At 39.5% G+C, this 24,395-nt stretch overlaps 1 protein-coding gene and 1 long non-coding RNA gene across 4 annotated transcripts in view, besides 1 other annotated feature; both read right to left on the bottom strand.

Moving 5' to 3' along the window:
- KLF8 (KLF transcription factor 8) overlaps positions 1 to 24,395 on the bottom strand; it is a 383,409-nt gene that overhangs the window by 160,954 nt on the left and 198,060 nt on the right. The window lies entirely within an intron of this gene.
- The window catches only part of LOC124900486 (uncharacterized), a 150,609-nt gene that overhangs the window by 74,516 nt on the left and 51,698 nt on the right, over positions 1 to 24,395 (bottom strand). Inside the window, exon 1 of one of the 2 annotated variants that reach the window (XR_007068244.1) lies at positions 1,237 to 23,159. The exons of the other annotated variant lie outside the window; for it this stretch is intronic. This is a non-coding gene — a long non-coding RNA (uncharacterized LOC124900486). Of the gene's footprint in view, positions 1 to 1,236; positions 23,160 to 24,395 lie in introns of those variants that run through there. 2 annotated transcript variants of the gene reach the window in all.
- Positions 15,835 to 16,334: an enhancer, noted in NCBI's record as "H3K4me1 hESC enhancer chrX:56140677-56141176 (GRCh37/hg19 assembly coordinates)". NCBI's record gives its function as "activates a minimal SCP1, AML or CMV promoter by ChIP-STARR-seq in naive H9 embryonic stem cells {active_cell/tissue: H9 hESC(naive)}" and the evidence as "EXISTENCE:reporter gene assay evidence [ECO:0000049][PMID:30033119]".

The following is a 24,395-nucleotide window of genomic DNA, read 5'->3' as shown; positions in this document are numbered from 1 at the left end:
ATTACCAGAATTGTTTTTCTGGTTCCATCTCATTTGGGTAGGCTATGTCAGAGCGAAGATCTCGGGCTGAAGGCTGCAGTTCACATTGTTTGTACCACGGGGTGCTCCCTTGATGTAGTACTCTCCTGATTTTCTTAAGGATGTGGCTTCCTGAGAGCCAAACTGTAATGAATGTTATTTCTCTTCTGGATCTAGCCACTCAGCAGGGCTACCAGGTTCTGGTCTGGTACTGGGGGCTGTCTGCACAGAGTGCTTTGATGTGAACCATCTTCAGTTCTCTCAGTCTCCAGTGAGACTGGCAGTGAGGTGGCGGGAGAGTGAAATGGACTCTGTGAGTGCCCTTAGTCGCAGTTGCTTGATGCACAAGGTTTGTGCTGGTTGGCCTCCTGCCAGGAGGTGAGGATTTCAAGAGACCATTAGCTGTGGTAGTATAGGGGAGAATCAGGAGAATCAGGAGGTGGGCGAGGCCTTAGAACTCCCAAGATAATATGGCCTTTGTCTTCAGCTACTGGGGTGGGTTAGGCATGTCTGAGCTCAGACTCTCCTTGGGCCTGGCTTACTGAGGCTGCTGTGGGGGTTGGGAGGTTGGGGGTATGGTACCCATGTCAATGGAGTAATGCTCCCAGGAGAGTTATGGCTGCTCTGCTATGTCATGCAGGTTGTTAGGGAAGTAGGGGAAAGCTAGAAGTTACAGGCCTTACCCAGCTCCCATGCAACCCAAAAGGCCAGTCTCACTCCCACCGTGCCCCACCCTGACAGCACCAAGTTTGTTTCCAGGCAGTGAGTGAGCAGGGCTGAGAACTTGTCCCAGGCTACCAGCCTGCCAGCTGAGAAAGAAAGCATGGCTTTTGCATCTTTTTGCCTGTTGAGTCTGCGCACTGGATTTATGCCCTCCCTCGAGTTTTGGCCGGGAGACTTCACGTTTGGTTCAAGTGGTTACAAAGTTTAGCTGGAGGTTTCCTTTTCCCTTTGGTCTTTCCCCAGTTCCTCTGGCAGCCCTCCCACAGGACTCCTGTGAGACAAGTCAGATCTGGCTTCCCCAGGGACCCAGATGGCTCACAGGGCTTTTCCTACTGTTTCCTCTACCCCTGTATTTCGCTCAGCTCTCTAAATTGTCTCAGATCCAGTTAAGGTCATATCCTTCTCCTGCGATCTGGACCTTCAGGTTCCCCAGTGAGAGTGTGTGCTCGGGAGTGGACAATCCCCCTTTCCCACTTTCCCAGTTTAGGCACTCACAGTATTTGGGCTATCTCCCGGGTCCTGCAGGAGTAATCCTCTTCCTTCAAAGGGTCTGTAGATTCTCTCAGCTTTTCTGGTCTATTCCTGCAGTAGTTCTTTGAGTGAAAGTTCATGATGTGAGTCTCCACACCCTGTTCTGTCTGTCCAAGTGGGAGGTGCAATTTAGTCCTGTCTCCTTTCTGCCACTTTTTTCAGATATAACAGAGATTTAAAGACATTTTCATTTTGCAACTGATTAGATCTAGATGGTGTAGGAAGGTGAATCATCTACACTGCTCAACTCTACCAGTGGCACTCCATTTACCCCACCCCAAAGTGTAACCTGGTATAAGATTTTTTAAGTACATGACTAGTAATTTTTCTCTCTCTCTCCCTGATTACACTTTTTTGCACATTGCAGACACTCAATTTTCATGTGTTCACAGAAATGATGTTTTGAGAAGTTCATAACACCTCACAATATGACACTCAATCCAAATCTCATCAGCTACATTTGCACACCAACTACACTGTGGGTTTTTTGTTTGTTTGTTTGTTTTGCTTTGTTCTTATGATCTAATTTGCCAATTTAAGAAACTTTTTCTAATCTAGACTGAATGCAGTGTTAGAAAACTGACTCAGTTTTGATCCCATTTGGTACATTACATGGGAGTATCTGACTTATAGATGGGTGCAAAACCTTTAAAAGCAGCTCTGAAGTAAACAGTCAAACAGATAAATGCTAAGCCATTTATTTAAAGAGAAACCTTCCTATATTATGTCAAATATGGACATACTTCTTTATTTTCTACTTTTTTTCTATTGAGGTTGGGAGTTGGGGCATAAAATGGTCTCTTGTTGACAAGCAAAGGTATTCTAAGGTAATTAAGTAATAGATTTTTCTGCCAAAGCTCTGGCGAAAGGATATATTCACAATTTTACCCAAAGCTGGTGAGCTGAACTAAGGATTGATACTAAAGTATGTTTGTTATTGTTCTGTTCCTTACCTAAAGTAGAAGATAAACTGACCCCAGGAACATAAACCAGGCCTAAAGGATATGATTCAAATAATTTTCAAAACCATCATGAGTTCTTTCAGTCTATCAGAACTCCTCTCCAGTGAATGGAATTTTGTATGTTTCACATGCTCTTCCTATTCACTCTATCCTAAGTTTCTCTCCATCTGTTGCTATACTCTTTTAAATATCCTTGTTATTTTACTTGCTCTTCCCTTCATCTGGAATGCTTTCTCAATGAACCACTCTTACCACCACCCTTCACCCCTCAGTTGCTTACTGAATGTTCATCCTTCAAAATTCTGCTCAAATTCTAGCTCAAGCATTACCCTCCTGATGACACTGTCATCCTTCATGCCATCAAGCTCCCTATTCTAATCTATCAGTACCTGGCAAAGACCTTTAGTATAGCGTTGAGCATAATGGGAATTGTATAGTTATATTATTTCTTTGTTGGCCCTTATCTGTTTTTTTTCTTTCTGGAGGGCCAACATAGACACTTTGTAGATACTCAATTTATTGTTTGCTTTAGCAAGGTTCCATGAAATAATTATTTTCCATCTTTATTGAAATAAATTGTACATTTTAAGGTATATAACATGATATTTTGATATATATACACATTGTGAAATGATTACCAACAAGCCTTCATTTAAAGTAGTTTTTGTTTTTGTTTTGATACAGGGCCCTTGCTCTGTCACTCAGGCTGGAAGGTAAGGGCCTGATCACAGCTCACTGCAGCCTCAACCTCTTGAGCTCAAGTGATCCTCCAGCCTCAGCCTCCCAAGTAGCTGGGACTACAGGCACACACCATCATGCCTGGTTATTATTATTTTTTTTATTTTTGTAAAGACAGGGTCTCACCATGTTGCCTAGACTGGTCTCAAACTCCTGGGCTCAAGGAATCCTCCCACCTCAAATTGCTGGGATTATAGGCATAAGCGACTGTGATTGGCCTATGTTTTAGCACTGGAGCTCATGTTTTATCTGTAGTGGAGGCTGGAGTTCATGTTTTATCTGTAGTGCTACAGTGTTTAAAACATAAGAGACACACAGCAAATTTTTCATTTGTTCAGTACTAGGGATACATTGATAAACAAAACAATATGCCTTATAGAGCTAAATTTTAGTTAGGGAAAATGGACAATAAACAATATATAATATGTCAGAGAAACTAAGAGTGAGTAAAAGGGATGGAGAGTGCTGGGAAGTGTGTTGCTGTTTTACACAGGTCTCTCTGGGAGGCACTATTTGAATGGAGGCCTGAAAAATTAAGAAAGTGAGCCATGTAGGCCAGGCATGGTGGTTCACATCTGTAATCCCAGCACTTTGGGAGGCCGAGGCGGGTAGATCACTTGAGGTCAGGAGGTCGAGACCAGCCTAGCCAACATGGTGAAACCCCGTCTCTACTGAAAATACAAAAATTAGCCAGGCGTGGTGGTAGGCGCCTGTAATCCCAGCTACTCAGGAGGCTGAGGCAGGAGAATCACTTAAACTGGGGAGGTGGAGGTTGCAGTGAGCCAAGATCGTGCCATTGCACTCCAGCCTGGGTACAAGAGCGAGACTTCGTCTCAAAAAAAAAAAAAAAAAAGAAAGAAAGAAAGAAAAAGAAAAAGAGAAAGAAAGTGAGCCATATAAATATTGGAGGGAAGAGAATTCCAAGCAGAAAAAATGACAAGTGCAAAGTTGCTCTGAATTGAATAGAGTGAGTGAGTGGAAACAGGGAGTAGGAGATGGGGTCAGAGAGGGAGCAGGACCCAAATCATGCAGATTCTTTTATGTCAGGTATAGCACTTTGGCTTTCAGTTTGAATAATATGGGAAGCCACTGAAGGGATCTGAGTGGAGGTGTGATCTGATCTAAGTTAGGTTAAAACAAAATCACTCTAGCTGATGTGTTAGAATAAATTGTTAGGGGCAAGGATAGACGAGGAGTGATTAGTTAAGAGGCTATTATGATATTCTAAAAGAGAGATGGTGGTAGTTTGGATCAGGAATGGTAGACTGGAGGTGAACAGAAGTGATTAGATTTAGGATATTCTGTTTTTTAAGGTTAGAGCCAATAGCATTTGCTGATTTTGTTATTATATATGGACACAGTGATGAATCTAATGTTTTTGGTCTTATCAACTGAAAGGAAAAGCTGCAGGTTACTGAAATGGGGAAGTCTGGGTGGAAAAGGTTGGTGATAGCCATTGTAACGCTGAGTCATGCTTTGGCTAGGTTAAGACTGGGACAAGTTAAGATGAATGGATGAAGATAAGCAGTTCTCATGTCTTTCCTACAAGCATATTAAGTCTACATGATTTTAGTGTTTTCTGAGTTACCATTAATCACAAAACTACAAAAACAAAATCAATGACTATTATAAAAATCACTACAATTTATTGTAAATAATAAGTACCAGGCACTGTGGGTGCTTTATATGCATACTCTCATCTCATCATTCCCCAAACCCTAGGAAGTACAAATTATTTTTCCATTTTCACATGATATAGCTGAGGTTCAGAGAAGTTAAGCATCCTATGCAAGTAATAACACTGCACTGGTAAGTGCCAGAGAGTATATCACACCCTAAACCCGTTATGTATTTCTATTCTACACTCTTCCCCATAAACTAGATTTGAGCTATCCCTGTTACAGTATATTTCCTCCAGATTTACAATTAGAGTAATGGATATTCTGTAAGGAGAAAAGGTACTTACTTAAGGCCTAACTACTGGCAGTGATGCAGACAGAAAGATACCATAGTCCAGGGAAACACCTTCTCATAAGAAACAATAGCCGACCACTAGAAAAGATGCCAGACAATGATAGGGAATGCAAATGTGACTTGAAGGCCTCATAACCTGTTGGAGGGAGCAGGCTACATTATCCATGCCCTGTTACATGTAGATTGGAACACATGGAATCCTCTTGTCTAGTTGCCATTTTAAAAATAAAGTCAAGGTATCTATTCCATCTTTAGTATAGGACAGACACATTACACTCCCCAGGACTCTAGACATTTTCATATGAATAGCTGTTTCTGTCTTCCTCTGAGAGGCACCCCTTAGTCTAAGAAAGACACTGAGAAGTTGTTTTCAGAGGTTAGGCAAATGAGAAAGGATTGCATCTGATGTCTCTAGGCTATGAGGATGGAGGAGTGAAAGAAAAAGATGTCATGTCTGCTACATCTGTTCTTCTAATTTAAAAGTACCACCACCCACGTTTTACACTTCTTAAAAGTGCAGGTGGAAAAAGTATTGCTGATCATACCCTAATCCATACTAATGTAATGAAGGCAAAAACTGGAAAACTGGTGCAGACACTGAAGTGACTCAGACACGAGGGCTCTTTAAGCTGTCATCTGAATCAAGCCTGCCCACTTGACTGTTAGCCTAAAATCAACTCAGTGTAGAAAGAGGCTTCTGAAGAGGTTTTGTAGTGCATTTTCATTTCTGAATGAAATCTACAATTGAGCTTCCTCTGACTTTTGATCTTCATTAAGAGAGTTCTTCTTGTGACTCAGGAAATGGGAATGAGAATGTGAAAGAAATGAACACCAAAAGGTCACAGTGACATAAAAAAAATCATTTTCTCTGGGTTTAGCCATAGCCAAGACTTAAAAGACAATGCACAAGTTTTTATGACATCACCCTTCTTTACCCAGAATGACCATAGTATACATAAGCTGGGCTAAACTGAGCCCACAGAGACTTGATACAGACTGGAAATTCTCCCAGAAAAATCCCTTGGCAATGATGCAGAAGACTCCATTGACTTCTCTCTCTATAGGCCACAATTGCCTACGGTTTATAAAGGCAGCTGTGAATGAAAAGCATCATGTTTTATATGGCATCAGAAATTGATAAACGATTCATGTACTTCAGGTAGAGACATAGTATAGACTAGCAGTTAAGAGACTGGTCACTGAAGCCAGTTTGTTTGCATGCAAATCTAGACTCTGTTATTCCCAAGTTGTACGACCTTGGGCAATTTATTTACTCAACAAAAACTGACTGAGGTTCTAATATATGTGAAACTTTGTTTTAGGCACTTTGGATACCTCAATGAACAAAACAGGTACACATCCCTGCCTTCATTAAGCCTGCATTCTAGTGGGGAAATGTAAGCAATAAACAAATGTAATTTTATAGCATGAGTGTAAAAAGCATTAGGGAGAAACAAAAATGTAGAGCAAAGCCTACATTTCATTTGTTTTGAGCTTCCTGCTTTAAGTCCTATTTCTGAGTTACCATTAATCACAAAACCACAAAAACAAAATCAATGACTATTATAAAAATAACTACAATGTATTGTAAATAATAAGTACCAGGCACTGTGGGTGCTTTATATGCATACTCTCACCTCATCATTCCCCAAACCCTAGGAAGTACGCTGAGCTAGCAGGAAGGGAGTTACTTAACTTTTCTGGCCTCAGTCTCCTCACTTGTAAAATGTATATCATAATGGTTTAAAATGTGAAGTGCTGGACCAGTGCCTGTCACATAGGACATGCTTCATTAAATTTATTATTACTGTCCCACGATGTCATTTGACCAAAGACTATTTTCTACCAAAATGTCATTAATGCCCTGGAAAAATAATTCTTTAGTTCAGCATCTATTTGTGGAAATAGTCACAGTATCCCATCTTAGAGTTAGGTAGATTTCAGAAATGTCTGAGAAGGGGTCAGCTAAATTGGATGCCACTTTTGTAAAATATTATATGGAGAATAAATATAGAAACAAGGCTTTATACTTACTTATAAAGTTAATAACTTATTTATAAAATGTTTCCTTCCTTAATGAGTGAAACCTCACCACTCTTCTTAGAAATAATCCCTTTTATCAATCCCTTCCTTTAACCAAACTTTCTCTTATGCTTCTATTAGTGCCCTCTGCCCAAGTCCTCTTATTTCATCCAATGTCTAGATAAATTACAACCTTAAAGAGTTTAGAGGTTATCTCAGGCTTGTGCCCAGAATTGAGACTTTCATAAGTTTAGCTTTTTGGTCTACTAAGATCGGTAACTTTCTTTCTTTCTTTTCTTTCTTTCTTTCTCTTTCTTTCTTTCTTTCTTTCTTTCTTTTTCTTTCTTTCTTTCTTTTTCTTTCTTTTTTTATTTTTGTAAAAAGTAAGGGGAATGCACTGGCTCTCTGTCAAACATGCTTGGGGTGAAAGCTTAAGTAACACAGAGAAAAAATGTTGAAAGGAAGCATAATGAGGAGCCCTCATTCTAGAATCCTTGTTCTCCAAGACACTGGAGATGTCAGAAAAGCAGGAATGCTTATATCCAACTCCGTTGACTTCTTACTCCACCCACTTATTGTGTGTGTGTGTGTCTTTCAGGGTGGGCAGGGAGTGGAAAAGGGGGAGAATTAGGAGAACAGAGTATGAGAGTCAACAAAGGAAAGAAAATAAGAAAGGAGGTAATTGAGGCAAGGCAAATCAGAGGTCTTAAAACCAAGTTAAGGCTGGGCATGGTGGCTCACAGCTGTAGTCCCAGCAATTTGGGAGGCCTCGGCAGGAGGATCACTTGAGCCCAGGAGTTCAAGACCAGCCTAGGCAATATAGTGAAACCCCGTTTCTATTAAAAATGAAATATATATATAAAGCAAGTTCAACTCCAGGGAGTAACATTACAAGAAAAAGAAAGCATAGGTACACAGAAATTTATCATGTGAATAGGGCTTAAAGCAGGAAGCTCAAATGAAAAATTTCAATAATAAACCTCAATTTTTCTCCCCCTTATTTAAAAGTACTTAATATTTTAATTAAAAAATAACACATGAAGTCATTAGAAATGTTCCACTATCATAGAGCAGAAAAAACTCCTTCATCTCTCCTTAAAGTAGGTTTGTACAAAAGTATCAGAACAGTATTATTAATACTATCATCAGTATAATTGAATGCATACCAAGTATCATATATTTTGCATATTGTATGTCATTTATTTCCCATTTTTATGGTAGCATCATTTTGACAGAGGAATAAACAGATGCTGAAAAAGGTTAAATCACTCATCCAAAGATACTCAGCTGATAAGTAGTGGGGCCATGATTGGAATCCAGATTTGGCACATTCCCAAACTTTTTCACTTTGGCATGTTGACTTCCAAGTATAATTTGTTCACATTTTGTTTTTTTCATATATGTCAGTCTTACCTCCTCAAATAGACCATTAACTGTCATTGAGTATTCTTTTTCACCCCTCCCACAGCCCATACCACAAGGCAGGGCACAAAACAAATTTTATTAATGTCCTAGTGAGTGTTTCATAAACCTTTATGGCTTTATTATCATTTCAGTTAATAAGGAGTAGAGAATAATCAAGCAATGACAACCTTAATGATAACAAAAATTATGAAATTTTACTCAAAACATGTTCAGAGAAAAAACTATCACCCAATTTTTGCAGATGTAGATACTGATTCCATAAATGTTTATTGAGTATCTACTAAGTGCAAGGGTTTGCACAATAAAGACACACACACAGTTGGAAATGATTTTTCCTGGGATTAAGTAGGAGTGTTTCCTTCAAATAAGGACCTTTCTATTTATGACCATAGTTACTAAGGACTATCAACTACTTTCTGAAGTATATGATAAGTCACATCAAACTTACATAGGTACTGTGGCAATAATGAAAACCATCAGGCCCTGGCTGTGGCAAGTAGCCTTTATTTGAATCTAAAGTTCAGCCAACATGGGCCATGTGGCTTTTCTCCAAGAATCATCCTACTGGGATGCTAAAGAAAAGCTGAAGAAGGCAGAAACATGAAAAGATAAATCACAATTCTTCTCTGTCTTTGGGAAAAGAATTTCCGGGTCAGAAGAACTGAGCTTTCAGGGCAGTCTGATAAAATTACAGCCACGTGAAAACTAAAGGAGTCAGGATATAAGTCCAAAAGCAATAAATAATGCCAATAGACAAGTCAGTCCTGCCCACTCAGAAACGTTCTCTTTCCTCTCCCCTTTCTTCACTTTTCTCCCTTTTCTCTAACTGCAGGCTATTCTTTCTCCAACCTCTTCCTTTCCAGCCCTTCTCTCCATCCTTTCTCCTTCCTTTGCCCTTTATCTTTTCCTTTCTTGATTATCCCTTTCACAGTCATAGGCAGGAAGCCTTATGTGTGTGGTGTCTGAATTTAGTGTTTTCCTTTTTTTTTTTTTTTTTTTGAGACGGAGTCTCGCTCTGTGGCCCAGGCTGGAGTGCAGTGGCGGGATCTCGGCTCACTGCAAGCTCCGCCTCCCGGGTTCACGCCATTCTCCTGCCTCAGCCTCCCGAATAGCAGGGACTACAGGTGCCCGCCACCACGTCCGGCTAATTTTTTGTATTTTCAGTAGAGACGGGGTTTCACTGTGTTAGCCAGGATGGTCTCAATCTCCTGACCTCGTGATCTGCCCACCTTGGCCTCCAAAAGTGCTGGGATTACAGGCGTGAGCCACTGTGTTCGGCCCGGAATTTAGTGTTTTCTTTAGGTCCAGGGCATGCTACAGTCACCCTGCTCAGAAGCTAGCAGGATTACTTGAGAAAGAATGAAAAAGGTCAAACTCTCACCCTCACTTGGAAACATGCCCTCTAAAACCCAGAATTTATGCTTCCTTGAGCCTCAAAGGGGAGGAGGTGGGGCATATTCTCTTTTTCTCTCACCTTCATACAAAAGAAGAGGGAAAGGCCCTAGGTGGTGGGTGAGTGAGTGGCAGCAGGAAGGGATGACCAAAAGCATGTTTCTGGAGCTAGCAATAACACTCATCCCAAGGCCTAAGAGACCATGGGAATTTCTGGAGAGCTGGTATAAATGGAGGAAATGGGGTAAAGCCATTCAGGCTGGGGACATTTTTCTCTTTCATCTCTCTTTTGAGCCCTTCATGCAGGAACCAAGAGCACAGACAAATAGTTGGACACCTGGCCAGCTGCCTGGAATGGTCTCTTCCTTAAGGGAGAGCTTAGCCACTGCACAAAGGTCAGCTGAATAGTGGGAAATAGTGTTTGTTTAAAAGTCGAAAAAACTCAGGGAAAATTTCCTGTATTACCAAAGCTGAAAAATGAAATCCTAAGCCTTCAAGAGGGCTGTAGCTTGAAGTCCCTGGACATTCTACCTAAAGCTGGGCACTGTTAGCATCAGGGTTCGGATTGGGTGGCATAAGAAAAAGGAGACAAGGCAGTGGTGGCATCCAGAATTCCCACATCGGAAGAGCTTAGGTAAGTTGGGTTGGAAAAAAAGTAGGAGACTAAAAGACTAGTTTTGGAGCTCTATTTGCACTGCAAGCATACTGTGGGACTTACATTGTAGATTCCAGATTAGTTAAAAGTAAAGTTTCCAAAGATACTTTTAAACTAAAAACTAAGGATAATATATATATATATAGCCTTTCTAAACACCCTCCGCTAGTGTAAAAGGGCCGAAATGGAGTAACCATCAACTACGTGGACTTCCAAATTTTCTAGTACCCAAAGAATACTTGGGTACTACCTTATGGCTCCTACCTTATGCAGATCCAGACCTAAACTTGCACAACCCATTCTTCTGCTTGCAGGCACACTGGAGAAGTCAGCCCCTTCTGTAACTGAGAAACTAGTCAGCCTACAGAAACTAGACTACGTTAAAACAACAACAAAACAACCCCAAAACCTAAAGTTTTTTTAAAATCACTAAAAATAGGCCAGGCGCGGTGGCTCACACCTGTAATCCTAGCACTTTGGGAGGCAAAGGCGGGTGGATCATGAGGTCAGGAGTTCGAGACCAGCCTGGCCAATATGGTGAAACCTCGTCTCTACTAAAAACAAAAAGTAGCCAGGCATGGTGGCATGCGCCTCTAGTCCCAGCTACTTGGGAGGCTGAGACGGGAGAATCGCTTGAACCCAGAAGGCAGAGGTTGCAATGAGCCAAGATCACGCCACTGCACTCCAGCCTGGGTGACAGAAGGAGACTCTGTCTCAAAAAATAATAATAAGCGGAACCTGGTGTGATGATTGCTCTGTCACAGCCAGCTTGCTTCAGCTGGCCTCCCCTGGGATGCCTCCTCAGCTCTCCCATTAGGCTCTTTGGGGATCAGGCAGCAAAGACAGAGGCAACCTTTTCATTCTCCCACCATGACCCTCTTCCTCCTTTTCCCACTTTAGCAAAGGAAATAAAAGCTCTCTTCTGTCAAAGCGGACCCCAGTAGGAGGAAAGAAGGCTCTGTGGGAAGTAGATCAGTCTCTTTAACTTCTCTTCCTTCTGTCTTTCACATACAGGCCTCCTCTCTTCAAACTATGACAAATACTTTTGATTCCATGGCTCAGATAAGATAATCCCTCACAGATTTAAGAAAAGCTATCCTGGGTCCTGCAAAACAGAGTTACATACAACATTCTCTCTATCTACACCTTCTCCAGGAATTTCCTCCTATTTGAGACTTCCTACATCCTGCCCTTCCTCCTCCCAACTATGAGCCTATGTGAACTATATAAAGTTTGTGACTGAAATATACATATATACAACAAATGAATATATAAATACAATCAAAAACAATCTAAATTAGAAACTTCAGACCAGCAGAGCTGTATACTGCTTCAGAAAAAGCTTGCGTTATGTAACCAGAAGGAAGAACATTATTATTGGCAAAATTTTATCACCCAGAAGAAGTTTTTCCATTATAGTTTATTGATGATTAAATTACAATAACATTTGCACTAAAAACTAAGAGATTTTAGTGCAAATCTAAAATCTAGTGGAAGGATTTGAAATTAAGAGTTAGGAGACTTAGGCTTTCAAGTGTGACCCTAAACAAATCATCTAGTCTCTTTAGGCCTCAGTTAACTCAGGTCAGAATCTCCACTCTACCTATCTCATACAAACATTGTAGTAAACAAGTGAAAATAAGACTGTGAGGGCCTTAGAAATCGATACATAAAATGTACTTAAGAATAATACAAATAGTAATGATAAGTATTTATAACTTCTATTTCAGACCATTTAAGGTTTATCTGACTTTCTGAGTTGTTTATGGCCTAATGGAATTCACCAACTCCATTCTCATAGCGCATATTAACAGTAATAGCTGACTTATATTGAGCAATAGGTGCCAGATATTGTATTAAGTGCTTTATATATATACACACACATTAGCTCCTCTGCAACTCACAACAGCCCTGTGGGGTAGGTAAACTGAGTATGAGAAATGTTAACTGTCTAAGGTCATACAATTAGGAATTGCTATAGTCTGATTTTTGTCCCCCCTTCCTGCCCTCATTCTTATGTTGAAATCCTAAGTCCCAAGCTGATGGCATTAGGAGGTAGAAAATTTGGGAGGTGATTATTTCATGAGGGCTCTGCCCTCACGGAATGGAATTAGCACCCTTATAAAAGAGGCCTTAGAGAGGTTGCTTGCCCCTTCTGCCATACCAGGACCAGGAAGTGGGCCCTCACCAGAAACCCAATATTCTGGCACCCTGATTTTAGACTTCCCAGCCTCCAGAACCATGAGAAATAAATTTCTGTTGTTTATAAGCCACCCAATCTATGGTACTTTGTCCTAGCAGCTCAATGGACTAAAACAGAGGTGCAGAGGTTAGCACTTAAATTTAGGCAGTCTGACTTCACTGCTGCCCCACACTGACACAAGGATTAGATTAAACAGTTAAAGATAAATGAATTTGAAGAAACACTAAAAGACAGTTAATCAAAAACATGATCCAATGTGTTGGTCCTGCAGTTGTCTTGCTTCAGAACAATTTAACATTTTACATATGAGTATCTGAAAGTGGCATATTTAATAAGAATGTAGAATAATTGTTTCACTGTTCCTAATGAACAGTTCTGATTGAGGAATAAGCTGAAATCAATGGCAAACTGAGGTTCTTTCTGTTTTTTTTTCCCCCAGAGATGATAGAGCACAATAGAGCAGCCAGGGTAGACTATATATTCTATGAGGACAGGATCATGCTTTTGTCACAGAATGCAAAAATTCAGTGAATACAAAACCTCAATTTTGTCTAAGGCACTTGCATCTCCTGCTCAGCACTCAGCACAAGCCTTGCAATAGAGCAGATGCTCAGGGAATGTTTGTTGAATAGATTTGATTTCAAAAAGGAGCATGCTAATGTTCATGAGCAAGTTCAAATGTATATAAGGGGGAAGTTGAAATGGGAGGATAGTTACTTGTACTGAAATGTGTTAGGACTGTTATATCAAAGTCTCTGGTTCTCACAAGGTATTTCATGGCTTGGAGAGTTCTACTTTTTTTCCCTTCTTTTTTAAAATTAATAGAGATAGGGGTCTTGCTGTGTTGGCCAGACTGGTCTCAAACTTCTGGCATCAAGTAATCCTCCCATCTCAGTCTCCCAAACAGCTGGGATTACAGACATGAGCCATCATGCCTGGCCAAGAGTTCTAACTTATTAGAAAGTTCACTCAAGAACTCATGTTAGGAATTTATTAAAGCATGATATTGCACCAAAGAAAGTATAGATAAGAGTTCTAACATGTTACAATGTTTATGAACTGTTAAGGTATTTTAAAGGCAGAACATTTCAAATGCCTAGTGAGCTAAGGTACAGCATGGTGACTATAGTTAATGATATTGCATTGTATACATGAAATCTGCTAAGAGGGTAGATCTTAAATGTTCTCACTACACACAAAAAAAGAAAATACGGTAACTGTAAGGTGATAGATATGTTAATTATCTTGATTGTGGGAATCATTTCACTATATATATATATATATATATATATATATATATCAGAACATCATACTGTATACCATGATATAGACAATATTTTATTTCTGAAGTATACCTCAATAAAGCTGGGGGAAAAAATCCCACATCCAGCTGATGCCCATCTTCTCTCATGACCATTCCTCCTCCAGCTTTCCAGGCCCTTTTCAGGAACTTGCAAATTCTGGGCCTCTGGCTATAACACTGATTTCTGGCAGAAAAGGCCACCAGGGTGAAAAGACTTCAGAATTAGCTCTCAACTGAATGGAGATGAGGGTAGTTATTTTTCACTAGCTCTTTCATCAATTCTTCTCATTGGATCCCATCAGGCTACCTTCTCTCTCATAAATACTATATTGCAACAGATCCAGCCTTTCTCTCAGAATCCCGGGCTGGATCCTCCTCATCACACCTGTTCCTGCCAGGTACAGCTCCATATGAGCATTCAGGCTTGCAGCCAGGATCTCTTTGGCCAGATGCTGGACCTCAGACTGCCAAAGCAGTTTCACGCCATGTAGTAACAACTTTAATTTTAGAGCAGAAGCAGTCTGGGCCCCAAGGCAAAGAGCTAAGAAAGCACAGAATAAAAAGTCAAATCAGGGAAGAAATGCTGTTCTATACAAAAGCTGACCATCAGTTAGATGAATTCATATTTAACAAAGTGAACCTGGTAACTTTAGTGGGAGAATTCAGTAATGGAATAGCTTTCACATGGAACAGAAAAGATAGATGCTTGAAGCCTAACTCTTCTCTTTATTAGCTCTGTGACCTTAGGTATGGTACTTACTTGCTCTGTGTATCAGGTTTCTCATCTGAAAAAAGTGGTAATAACAGTATTTACTTTATAGAGTTGTCATGAATATTCAATGAGATATTCCATATAAAGTTCTTACAAACTTGCTTGACACAAGGTAAGTACTTGCTAAATGATATTATTATTATGGGAATATCAGCTTTCGATCCTGCTTAGCCGGGTACCACATCAGTTTACTAAAGGTATATCTGGTGCACTGAAAGATATTTTACTACATAATGCCTGCCCTCATGGCCTGAGGGCACTCCCAGCTTGCTTGTTCTACACCTGTGAATGGTAAGGTCCACTTCTATCACTAATTAACTGGGAACAACATCACTCCAAAATGCATAGGGAATAAAGATTCCTTTGATCATGTTTTCCAGTATGTTAAAGAAATTTTAGCTGTCAACTGCCAAACCTAGACTCAATAACAAAAATCCTCAGCAGATGCTCCTTTCCAGATGTGTTGGCTTCCATTTTGAGAATGAGATAAATCAGGACTTGAGTCTCAGAAAAAGAATTCAGAGACTATCTAACCTTCCCCTTCATGACTTTGACTATTTTTTACTTAATATATTTTTTAAATGGACTTACCTAAAAAATGATTTCTTGTGTGTGATGGGGTTTTACTATGTTGCCCAGACTAGTTTCAAACTCCTGAGCTCAAACAATCCTCCTGCCTCAGCCTCTAGAGTAGCTAGCATTACAGGCACATGCCAGCGTGCCTGGCCAAAAAAATAAATAAATAAATAAATAAATAATTTTAAGAGAAAAACATAATCTTACCACAAATAGAAAATTCCTCCCATATGTAGTATACATTCAAGGAAATCCATAACTATTCAAACTTTTTAAAATTTGACAAGAAACAAAGAGTTGTATAATTTTTTCATTTTATAGATGAGACAAACTGAAGTGTGGAGAAAAGACCACACACAATATAAGTCAGCGTAGTGAGTAAAAAGTAAAACGGAAGCCAACGCTTCTGATGCCAATTTAAGTACTCTTTATGTTACTCTTTATATTATGCTACCTTTGATCTGTATAAAATTGTAATGCTTTTTCCTACCACTCCACATATCCTTCACTTTTGCCTGAGGCAACTTGGGGAAATATGTGATTTCTAAAACAACTAACTAAAATATTTCTTAGTCCTTGATTCTGCTCTCATATCAGATAGGCAAACTAAAGAACAAGGAAGTTATTTGATTTAGCCCAGGCATTCAATATAAAAAACTATGTCTATGTCCATATGCAATATGAGGACGGTCATTCCACTTTTCACACCTCTTGGCACAGGTAGTCACACCCAATGTCTACTGTTTTGCCTGCTGGATAATAGAATTCCACAAATCAAAGTTGCAAGAGGTCATATAATTGCAAACTCTCTTTATCTGACAAATGAGAACACTGAAGTTTAGAAAGAAAAACAAGCACTTGCGCAAGATATTCCAGTAAGTTCGCAGCAGAGCGATATCTAAAACTAGAGGAGGTCCTTGGGTCCCAAGCACAGAACTGTGCAGACACTTGGCGGCCGCTAACATTGCGCCCAGGGGCAGCACGCTGGAGATGGCCTAAGATGACCGACTTCCTGGGGGGAAGGGTTGGCTGCCATCACTGGGGCTCCAGTAGGCCTTTATCCCCTGTGGGTGCCAAGGAGACTGGGCGGTTTGGATCAGTAGGAACTCCCCACAGTGTAGCACAGCAGCTGTGACCAATCATGGACAGACTGCTTCTATAGGTGGGACCCGGATCCATCCCTCCTAACCGGGCGGGGCCTCCTTGCGGGAATTTTAGCAACTCCAGCCAGGGATTTACAGACAGAACTATGATCCCCCTGGGACAGAGCCCCTGGGGGTAGGGCCAGCCGCAGTCTCCCATTCAGAGGACTTAGTCAGTCCCCCTGCTAGCTCTGAGGAATCCGGACAATCCAGAAGAGTGGGATTCCCCCCAGCACAGCTCACCTGCTTAGCCAAGGGGCCAGACTGCTTCCTTAAATAAGCCCTTGATCTCCTGCATCGTGACTGGGTGAGACCTCCCAACAGAGGTCACCAGACACCTCATACAGCTCTGGATGAAGGGGACCTGACATATATCTACAGAACACTCCACACACTCTACCCAAAAACAACAGAATATACATTCATATTAGCATTGAAGGAGTTCTCAAATTCAAAACCGATCTGTAAAGACTTGACTAGCAGTGTGTGTGCGTGTTTGTGTTGTGTGTTTTTTCATTTCTTTTTTTCTTTTTTCTCCTTTTTAATTTTTTTGTCTAGACATCACAAAAAAAAAAAAAAAAAAAAAACTATCCCTGCCAGGTCACTGTCTGACCACTGAAATAGTAAAATGGAGACTTCAGTAACAACACAAAATAATAATTCTATATTTTGCAAAAATTAGTTTGGAAAAGTCACTATACAAATGAAAGCCCACAGCTCATAACAAGCACCAACAGCAAACCTAGGGAGGGGAGAAAACTCTTATTTTCAGAGTTACCACATAACATTTAAAATGTCCAGTTTTCAACAAAAAACAAGGCATACAAAAAAAAAAACCATGAAAGTATGGCCTATTTACAGGAAAAAATAAACAAAAATTATCCACAAAGAAGTCTAGACATTCAACTTCCTAGACAAAGACTGTCTTTTTTTTTTTTTTTTCTGAGATGGAGTCTTGCTCTGTCGCCCAGGCTGGAGTGCAGTGGCATAATCTCTGCTCACTGCAACCTCTGACTCCAAGGTTCAAGCCATCCTCGAGTAGCTGGGACTACAGCCATGTACCACCATGCCCAGCTAATTTTTGTATTTTTAGTAGAGACGGGGTTTCACCATGTTGGCCAGGTTGGTCTTGAACTCCTGACCTCAAGTGATCCCCACTCCTTGGCCTCCCAAAGTGCTAGGATTACAGGCATGAGCCACCATGTCCAGCTGCATCAACTGGCTTAAACAGGCTCACAGAGGTTAAAAAGAAAACCTTAAAAAAATTAAAAGCTACAGAAAACCAGGAAAAGGATTTCTGAACATAATACCAATAAAAACACATTACAAAAAGAACTAAAATAAAAATTTTGACACTGAAAAGTATAATAGTTGAATGAAAATTTCACTAGAGGGGATACAAAGCATATTTGAACTGGCAGAAGAAAGAACTAGTGAACTTGAATATAGGACAATGTAAATTACCAAATCTGAGGAGCTAACAGAAAATAAGAATGACAAAAAATAAACAGACCTTAAGGGTTGTGTGGGACACCTTCAAGCATACCAACATGTGCATTATGGAGGTCCAAAAGGGAGAAAAGGGAGAATGGGGTGGAAAGAATATTTGAAGAAATAACAACCAAAAAATACCAATTTGTTTTCTTTTTTAAAATTTTTTTTATTATACTTTAAGTTCTGGGATACATGTGCAGAACGTGCAAGTTTGTTACATAGGTATACACATGCCATGGTGGTTTGCTGCACCCATCAACCCATCATCTACATTAGGTATCTCTCCTAATGCTATCTCCCCCAGCCCCCCACTCCATGGCAGGCCCCAGTGTGTGATGTTCACCTCCCTGTATCCATGTGTTCTCACTGTTCACCTCCAACTTATGAGTGATAACTTGCAGTGTTTGGTTTTCTGTTCTTGTGTTAGCTTGTTGAGAATGATGGCTTCCAGCTTCATCCACATCCCTGCAAAGGACATAAACTCATCCTTTTTTATGGCGGCATAGTATTCCATGGTGTATATGCACCACATTTTCTGAATCCGGTCTATCATTGATGGGCATTTGGGTTGGTTCCAAGTCTTTGCTATTGTGAACAGTGCCACAATAAACATACGTGTGCATATGTCTTTATAGTAGAATGATTTATAACCCTTTGGGTATATACCCAGTAAAGGGATTGCTGGGTCAAATTGTATTTCTGGTTCTAGATTCTTGAGGAATCGCCATACTGTCTTCCACAATAATTGAACTAATTTACACTCCCACCAACAGTGTAAAAGCATTTCTATTTCTCCACATCCTCTCCAGCATCTGTTGTTTCCTGACTTTTTAATGATCGCCATTCTAACTGGCGTGAGATGGTATCTCATTGTGGTTTTGATTTGCATTTCTCTAATGGCGAGTGATGATGAGCTTTTTTTTCATATGTTTGTTGGCTGCATAAATGTCTTCTTTTGAGAAGTGTCTGTTCATATCCTTTGCTCACTTTTTGATAGGGTTGTTTGTTTTTTTCTTGTAAATTTGTTTTATGTTCTTTGTAGATTCTGGATATTTGCCCTTTGTCAGATGGATAGATTGCAAACATTTTCTCCCATTCTGTAAGTTGCTTGTTCACTCTGATGATAGTTTATTTTGATGTGCAGAAGCTCTTTAGTTTAATTAGATCCCATTTGTCAATTTTGGCTTTTCTTGCCATTGCTTTTGGTGTTTTAGTCATGAAGTCTTTGCCCATGTGTATGTTCTGAATGGTAAAATACCAAATTTGATAGACTGTTGAATCTACACATCCAGAAGGCCAATGAACTCCAAGTAGAATAAACTCAAAGAGCTCCACAACTAGATACATTATAATCAAACTGCTGAAAGCCAAGAGAAAGAGAGAATCCTGAGAGGAGCAAGAAAGAAGTGATCTGCAATAATGCATCACACATAAATGTGATCCTCAATAATTTAAAGATATGATTTATCATCAGAAACCATAAGAGTTAGAAGGCAGTAGGCTGACTTATTCAAAATCCTGAAAGAAAAAGCTGTTAAACAAAAATTCTTTGTCTGTAAAACTATTCTTCAAGAATAAGCAGAGATTAAGACATTACCAGATAAAGAAAAGCTGAGAAAATTCATTACCAGTAGAAGGACTCTAATAAAATGGTAGAGAGAGTCCCTTGGATTGAGATAAAAGGGCATTAGACAGTAACTTGAAGCCACATGAAGAAATAAAAAAACTTCAGTAAAGGTAACTATATAAATAAATATAAAAGCAAATATTATTAATATTAGGTTAGTAATTCCTTTTTGTTTACAATAAGATTTAAAAGACAAATTAATGAAACAAAAATTATCAATACATGTTAATGTATTAGATTAATGTAAAGATATAATTTGTGACAAAAACAACATAAAGAAGTAAGCCATACAGAAACAAATTTTGGACATAATTGAAGCTACATTGGCATAAATTCAAACCAGGTTGATCTAATTTTAGGATGCCTATTGTAATGATCATCATGAACACTATAAAAAAACTAAGATATACACAGGAAACAAAATTAGAAGGGAATCAAAATAATACACTAGAAAAAATCAAACAAAAAAGTCAGTATTAGAGGAATTGAGAAACAAATAAATTATGACTTACAGAAAACAAATACAGTATAGCAGAAGTCCTTCCGATTAGTAGTCACATTACACATAAATGACTTAATCATCAGTTTAACAACAGAGTCTGGCAGAATGTACAAAATGAACGACCCAACTATATGATATTCGCAATAGACTTAGGTTAGAGACAAAAGACTTGAATAATTTGGAAGTAAAATAATGAAAAAAGCTATTCCATGCAAATAGTAACCAAAAGTGAGATGATGTAACTATATTAACATTATAAAAAAAACACTTTAAGTTAAAAGAAGTGGCACTACTCACAATAGCAAAGACATGGAATCAACCCAAATGCCCATCAATGATAGACCAGATAAAGAAAATGTGGTACATATTCACCATGGAATACTATGCAGCCATAAAAGGAAGGAGATCATGTCCTTTGCAGGGACATAGATGGAGCTGGAAGCCATTATCCTCAGCAAACTCACGCAGAAACAGAAAACCAAACACCACATGTTCTCACTTATAAGTGGGAGCTGAACAATGAGAACACATGGACACAGGGAGGGGAACAACACACAATGGAGCCTATTGGGGGTGGGCAGGGGGAGGGAAAGCATCAGGAAAAATAGCTAATGCATGCTGGGCTTAATAGGTGATGGGTTGCAGGTGCAGCAAACCACGATGGCACGTGTTTATCTATGTAACAAACCTACACATCCTGCATGTGTACCCTGGAACTTAAAATAAAAATAAAAATTAAAAGAAAATAAGAAAGGGAAAAAATAAGTTATGAGAAACAAAGAAGGTCATTTTGTATTGATAAAAGGTCAATCTAACAAGAATGTATAATAATTATAAACATGCATGCACAAAGCAACAGAATCAAAATTATATGCAAACACTGATAGGATTAAAGGGAGAAATAGACAATTTACAATAATAGTTGACTTCAATGTTCTAATTTCAATAATAATCGAACATTTAGAAAGAAGATCAACAAGAGAAGAGAGGACATGGAAAACACTATAAACTAAACCTAGTAAACATATATAGAACACTCCACCTAACAACATTAGAATACATATTTTTCTCAGATGAGCATGGAACATTCTTCAGAATAGAATCGATCTTTTTTTTTTTTTTTTGAGATAGAGTTTTGCTCTATTGCCCAGACTAGAGTGCAGTGGCATGATCACAGCTGACTGAAGCCTCAATCTCCCTAGCTCAAACCATCCTATCACCTAAGCCTCCTGAGTAGCTAGGACTACAGGTGCACACCACTATGCCTGGTGAATTGTTGATTTCTTTGTAGAGACAAGGTCTCACTATGTTGCTTAGGAAGGTCTCAAATTCCTGGGCTCATGATCCTCCCACCTTGGCCTCTCCAAGTGCTGGGATTACAAGTATGAGCCACTATGCTCAGCCTAGAACATATTTAAGGCACAAAATGAGTATCAATAAATGTAAAGAGATCAAAACCACACAAAGGATTATCTCTGGCGACAATGAAATGAACTAGAAATCAACACCAGAAGGAAAACTGAGAAATTTACAAGTATGCAGAAATTAAAGAAAACACTCTTAAACAGCCAATTGGTTTAAGAATAAAACACAAGGTAAATTAGAGAATAGCCCAAAGAAAATGAAAAGCAAAACACCACATATGAAAACTTATAAAATATGGTGAAAACAATGCTCAGTGGGAATTTTACAGCAACAAATGCATAAATTTAAAAATAAAACTTCTCAAATCAATAACACAACTTTTCACTCTTAGGAACTACAAAAGAGCAAACTAAACACAAAGCTGGCAGAAGAACAGAAAAATTAAGATCAGAACAGAGGTAAACAAAATAGGGAATAGAAAAGCAATAGGAAAAAAATTTTAAAGACCAAAATATAATTCATATAAAAGATCAACAACATTATCAAACTTTAAGCAATACATAAATAGAAAACAGATAAAGATGCAAATAACTAACATCAGAAATAAAAGTAGAGACATTACTACCAAATTTATAGAAACCAATCAATATAATATACCACATATATACACATACATATGAAAAAAGATAACATAATCTTCTCAGTTGATGCAGAAACAGCATTTGACAAAATCCAATAAACTTTCATAATAAAAGCACCCAGAAAGCAATAACTAGAAACAATAATTCCTCAGAATGATAAAAGGTATTTATGGAAAGCCCACAACTAAATTACACTTAATAGTAAAAGAATAAAACCTTTCCCCTTAAGATCAGAAATAAGAAAAGGATGTCTGCTTTCAACACTGCTATTCAACATTGCACTGGAAGTAATAGCCAGTACAATTAGGCAGATTAAAAAAAATGCATTGTCATTAGAAAGAAAGAAGTAAAACTATTTATATCTGCAGATGATATAATCCTGTATATAGAAAATCTGTCAAAATTATTTAAAAACCTATGGGAGCTAATAACAAAACTCAGCAAATTTTCATGATACAAGCCAACCAACAAAAATCGGTTGTGTTTCTACACACAAGCAATGAACAACTGAAAAGATTTTTTTAAATTCCATTTACAATAATATTCAAAAGAATACAAATAAAAATTGGGAATATATTTTACCAAGGAGGTGAAAGATTTGTCCACTAAAAACTCTCAAACATTGCTAAAAGAAATTAAAGAGGACCGGGGATCCGTTCTAAGATGGCCGAATAGGATCAGCTCGGGTCTGCAGCTCCCAGCATGATCGAGGCAGAAGATGGGTGATTTCTGCATTTCCAACTGAGGTACCTGGTTAATCTCACTGGGACTTGTTGGGACTGTGGGTGCAGCACACGGAGGGCGACCTGAAGCAGAGCAGGGCATCGACCTACCTGGGAAGCACAAGGGGTCAGGGGATTTCCCTTTCCTAGGCAAGGGACTCCGTGACAGACTTTACCTGGAAAAAATGGGAAACTCCCATCCAAATACTGTGCTTTTCCCACAGTCTCAGCAACCCGCAGATCAGGCGATTCTCTCCAGTGCCGGGCTTGGCGGGTCCCATGTCCATGGAGCCTTGATGACGGCTAGCACAGCACTCTGAGATCGACCAGCAAGGCTGCAGCCTGGCTAGGAGAGGGGAGTCCGCCATTGCTGAGGCTTGAGCAGGTAAACAAAGCATCCAGGAAGCTCGAACTGGGTGGGGCCTACTGCAGCTCAGCAAGGTCTACTGCCTCTATAGATTCCACCTCTGTGGGCAGGGCATAGCTGAACAACAGGCAGCAGAAACTTCTGCAGACTTAAATGTCCCTGTCTGACAGCTCTAAAGAGAGCAGTGGTTCTCCCAGCAAAGCGTTTGAGCTCTGACAATGGACAGACTGCCTACTCCAGTGGGTCCCCGACCCCTGTGTAGCCTAACTGGGAGACACCTCCCAGTAGGAGCCGAAAGACACCTCATAGAGGGGGGTGCCCCTCTGGGATAAAGCTTCCAGAGGAATGATCAGGCAGCAATATTTGCTGTTCTGCAGCCTCCACTGGTGATACCCAGGTGCACAGGATCTGGAGTCATCCTCCAGCAAACTCCAACAGACCTGCAGCTGAGGGACCTGACCGTTAGAAAGAAAACTAACAAACAGAAAGGAATAGCATCAACATCAATAAAAATGGTATCTACACCAAAACCCCATCTGTAGGTCACCAATATCAAAGACCAAAGGTAGATAAAACTGCAAATATGGGGAGAAACCAGAGCAGAAAAGCTGAAAATTCTAAAAATCAGAGCACCTTTTCTCCTCCAAAGGATTGCAGCTCCTTGCCAGCAATGGAACAAAGCTGGACAGAGAACGACTTTGATGAGTTGACAGAAGTAGGCTTCAGAAGGTTGGTAATAACAAACTTCTATGAGCTAAAGGAACATGTTCTAACCCATTGCAAGGAAGCTAAAAACCTTGAAATAAGGTTAGACAAACGGCTAACTAGAATAAACAGTGCAGGGAAGAACTTAAGTGACCTGATGGAGCTGAAAACCATGGCACAAGAACTTCATGATGCATGCACAAGCTTCAGTAGCTGATTCGATCAAATGGAAGAAAGGGTATCAGTGATGGAAGATCAAATTAATGAAGCCAGAAGACAAGTTTAGAGAAAAAGGGGTAAAAACAAATGAACAAAGCCTTCAAGAAATATGGGACTATGTGAAAAGACCAACTCTACGTCTGATTGGTGTACCTGAAAGTGATGGGGAGAATGGAACTAAGAGGGAAAACACTCTTCAGAATATTATCCATCAGAACTTCCCCAACCTAGCAAGGCAGGCCAATATTCAAATTCAGGAAATACATAGAATGCCACAAAGATACTCCTTGAGAAGAGGATCCCAAGACATATAATCA

The sequence above is a fragment of the Homo sapiens genome, chromosome X, assembly GCF_000001405.40.
Source record: "Homo sapiens chromosome X, GRCh38.p14 Primary Assembly".
NCBI lineage: Eukaryota > Metazoa > Chordata > Mammalia > Primates > Hominidae > Homo > Homo sapiens.
This window is presented reverse-complemented; position numbering and strand designations above follow the sequence as displayed.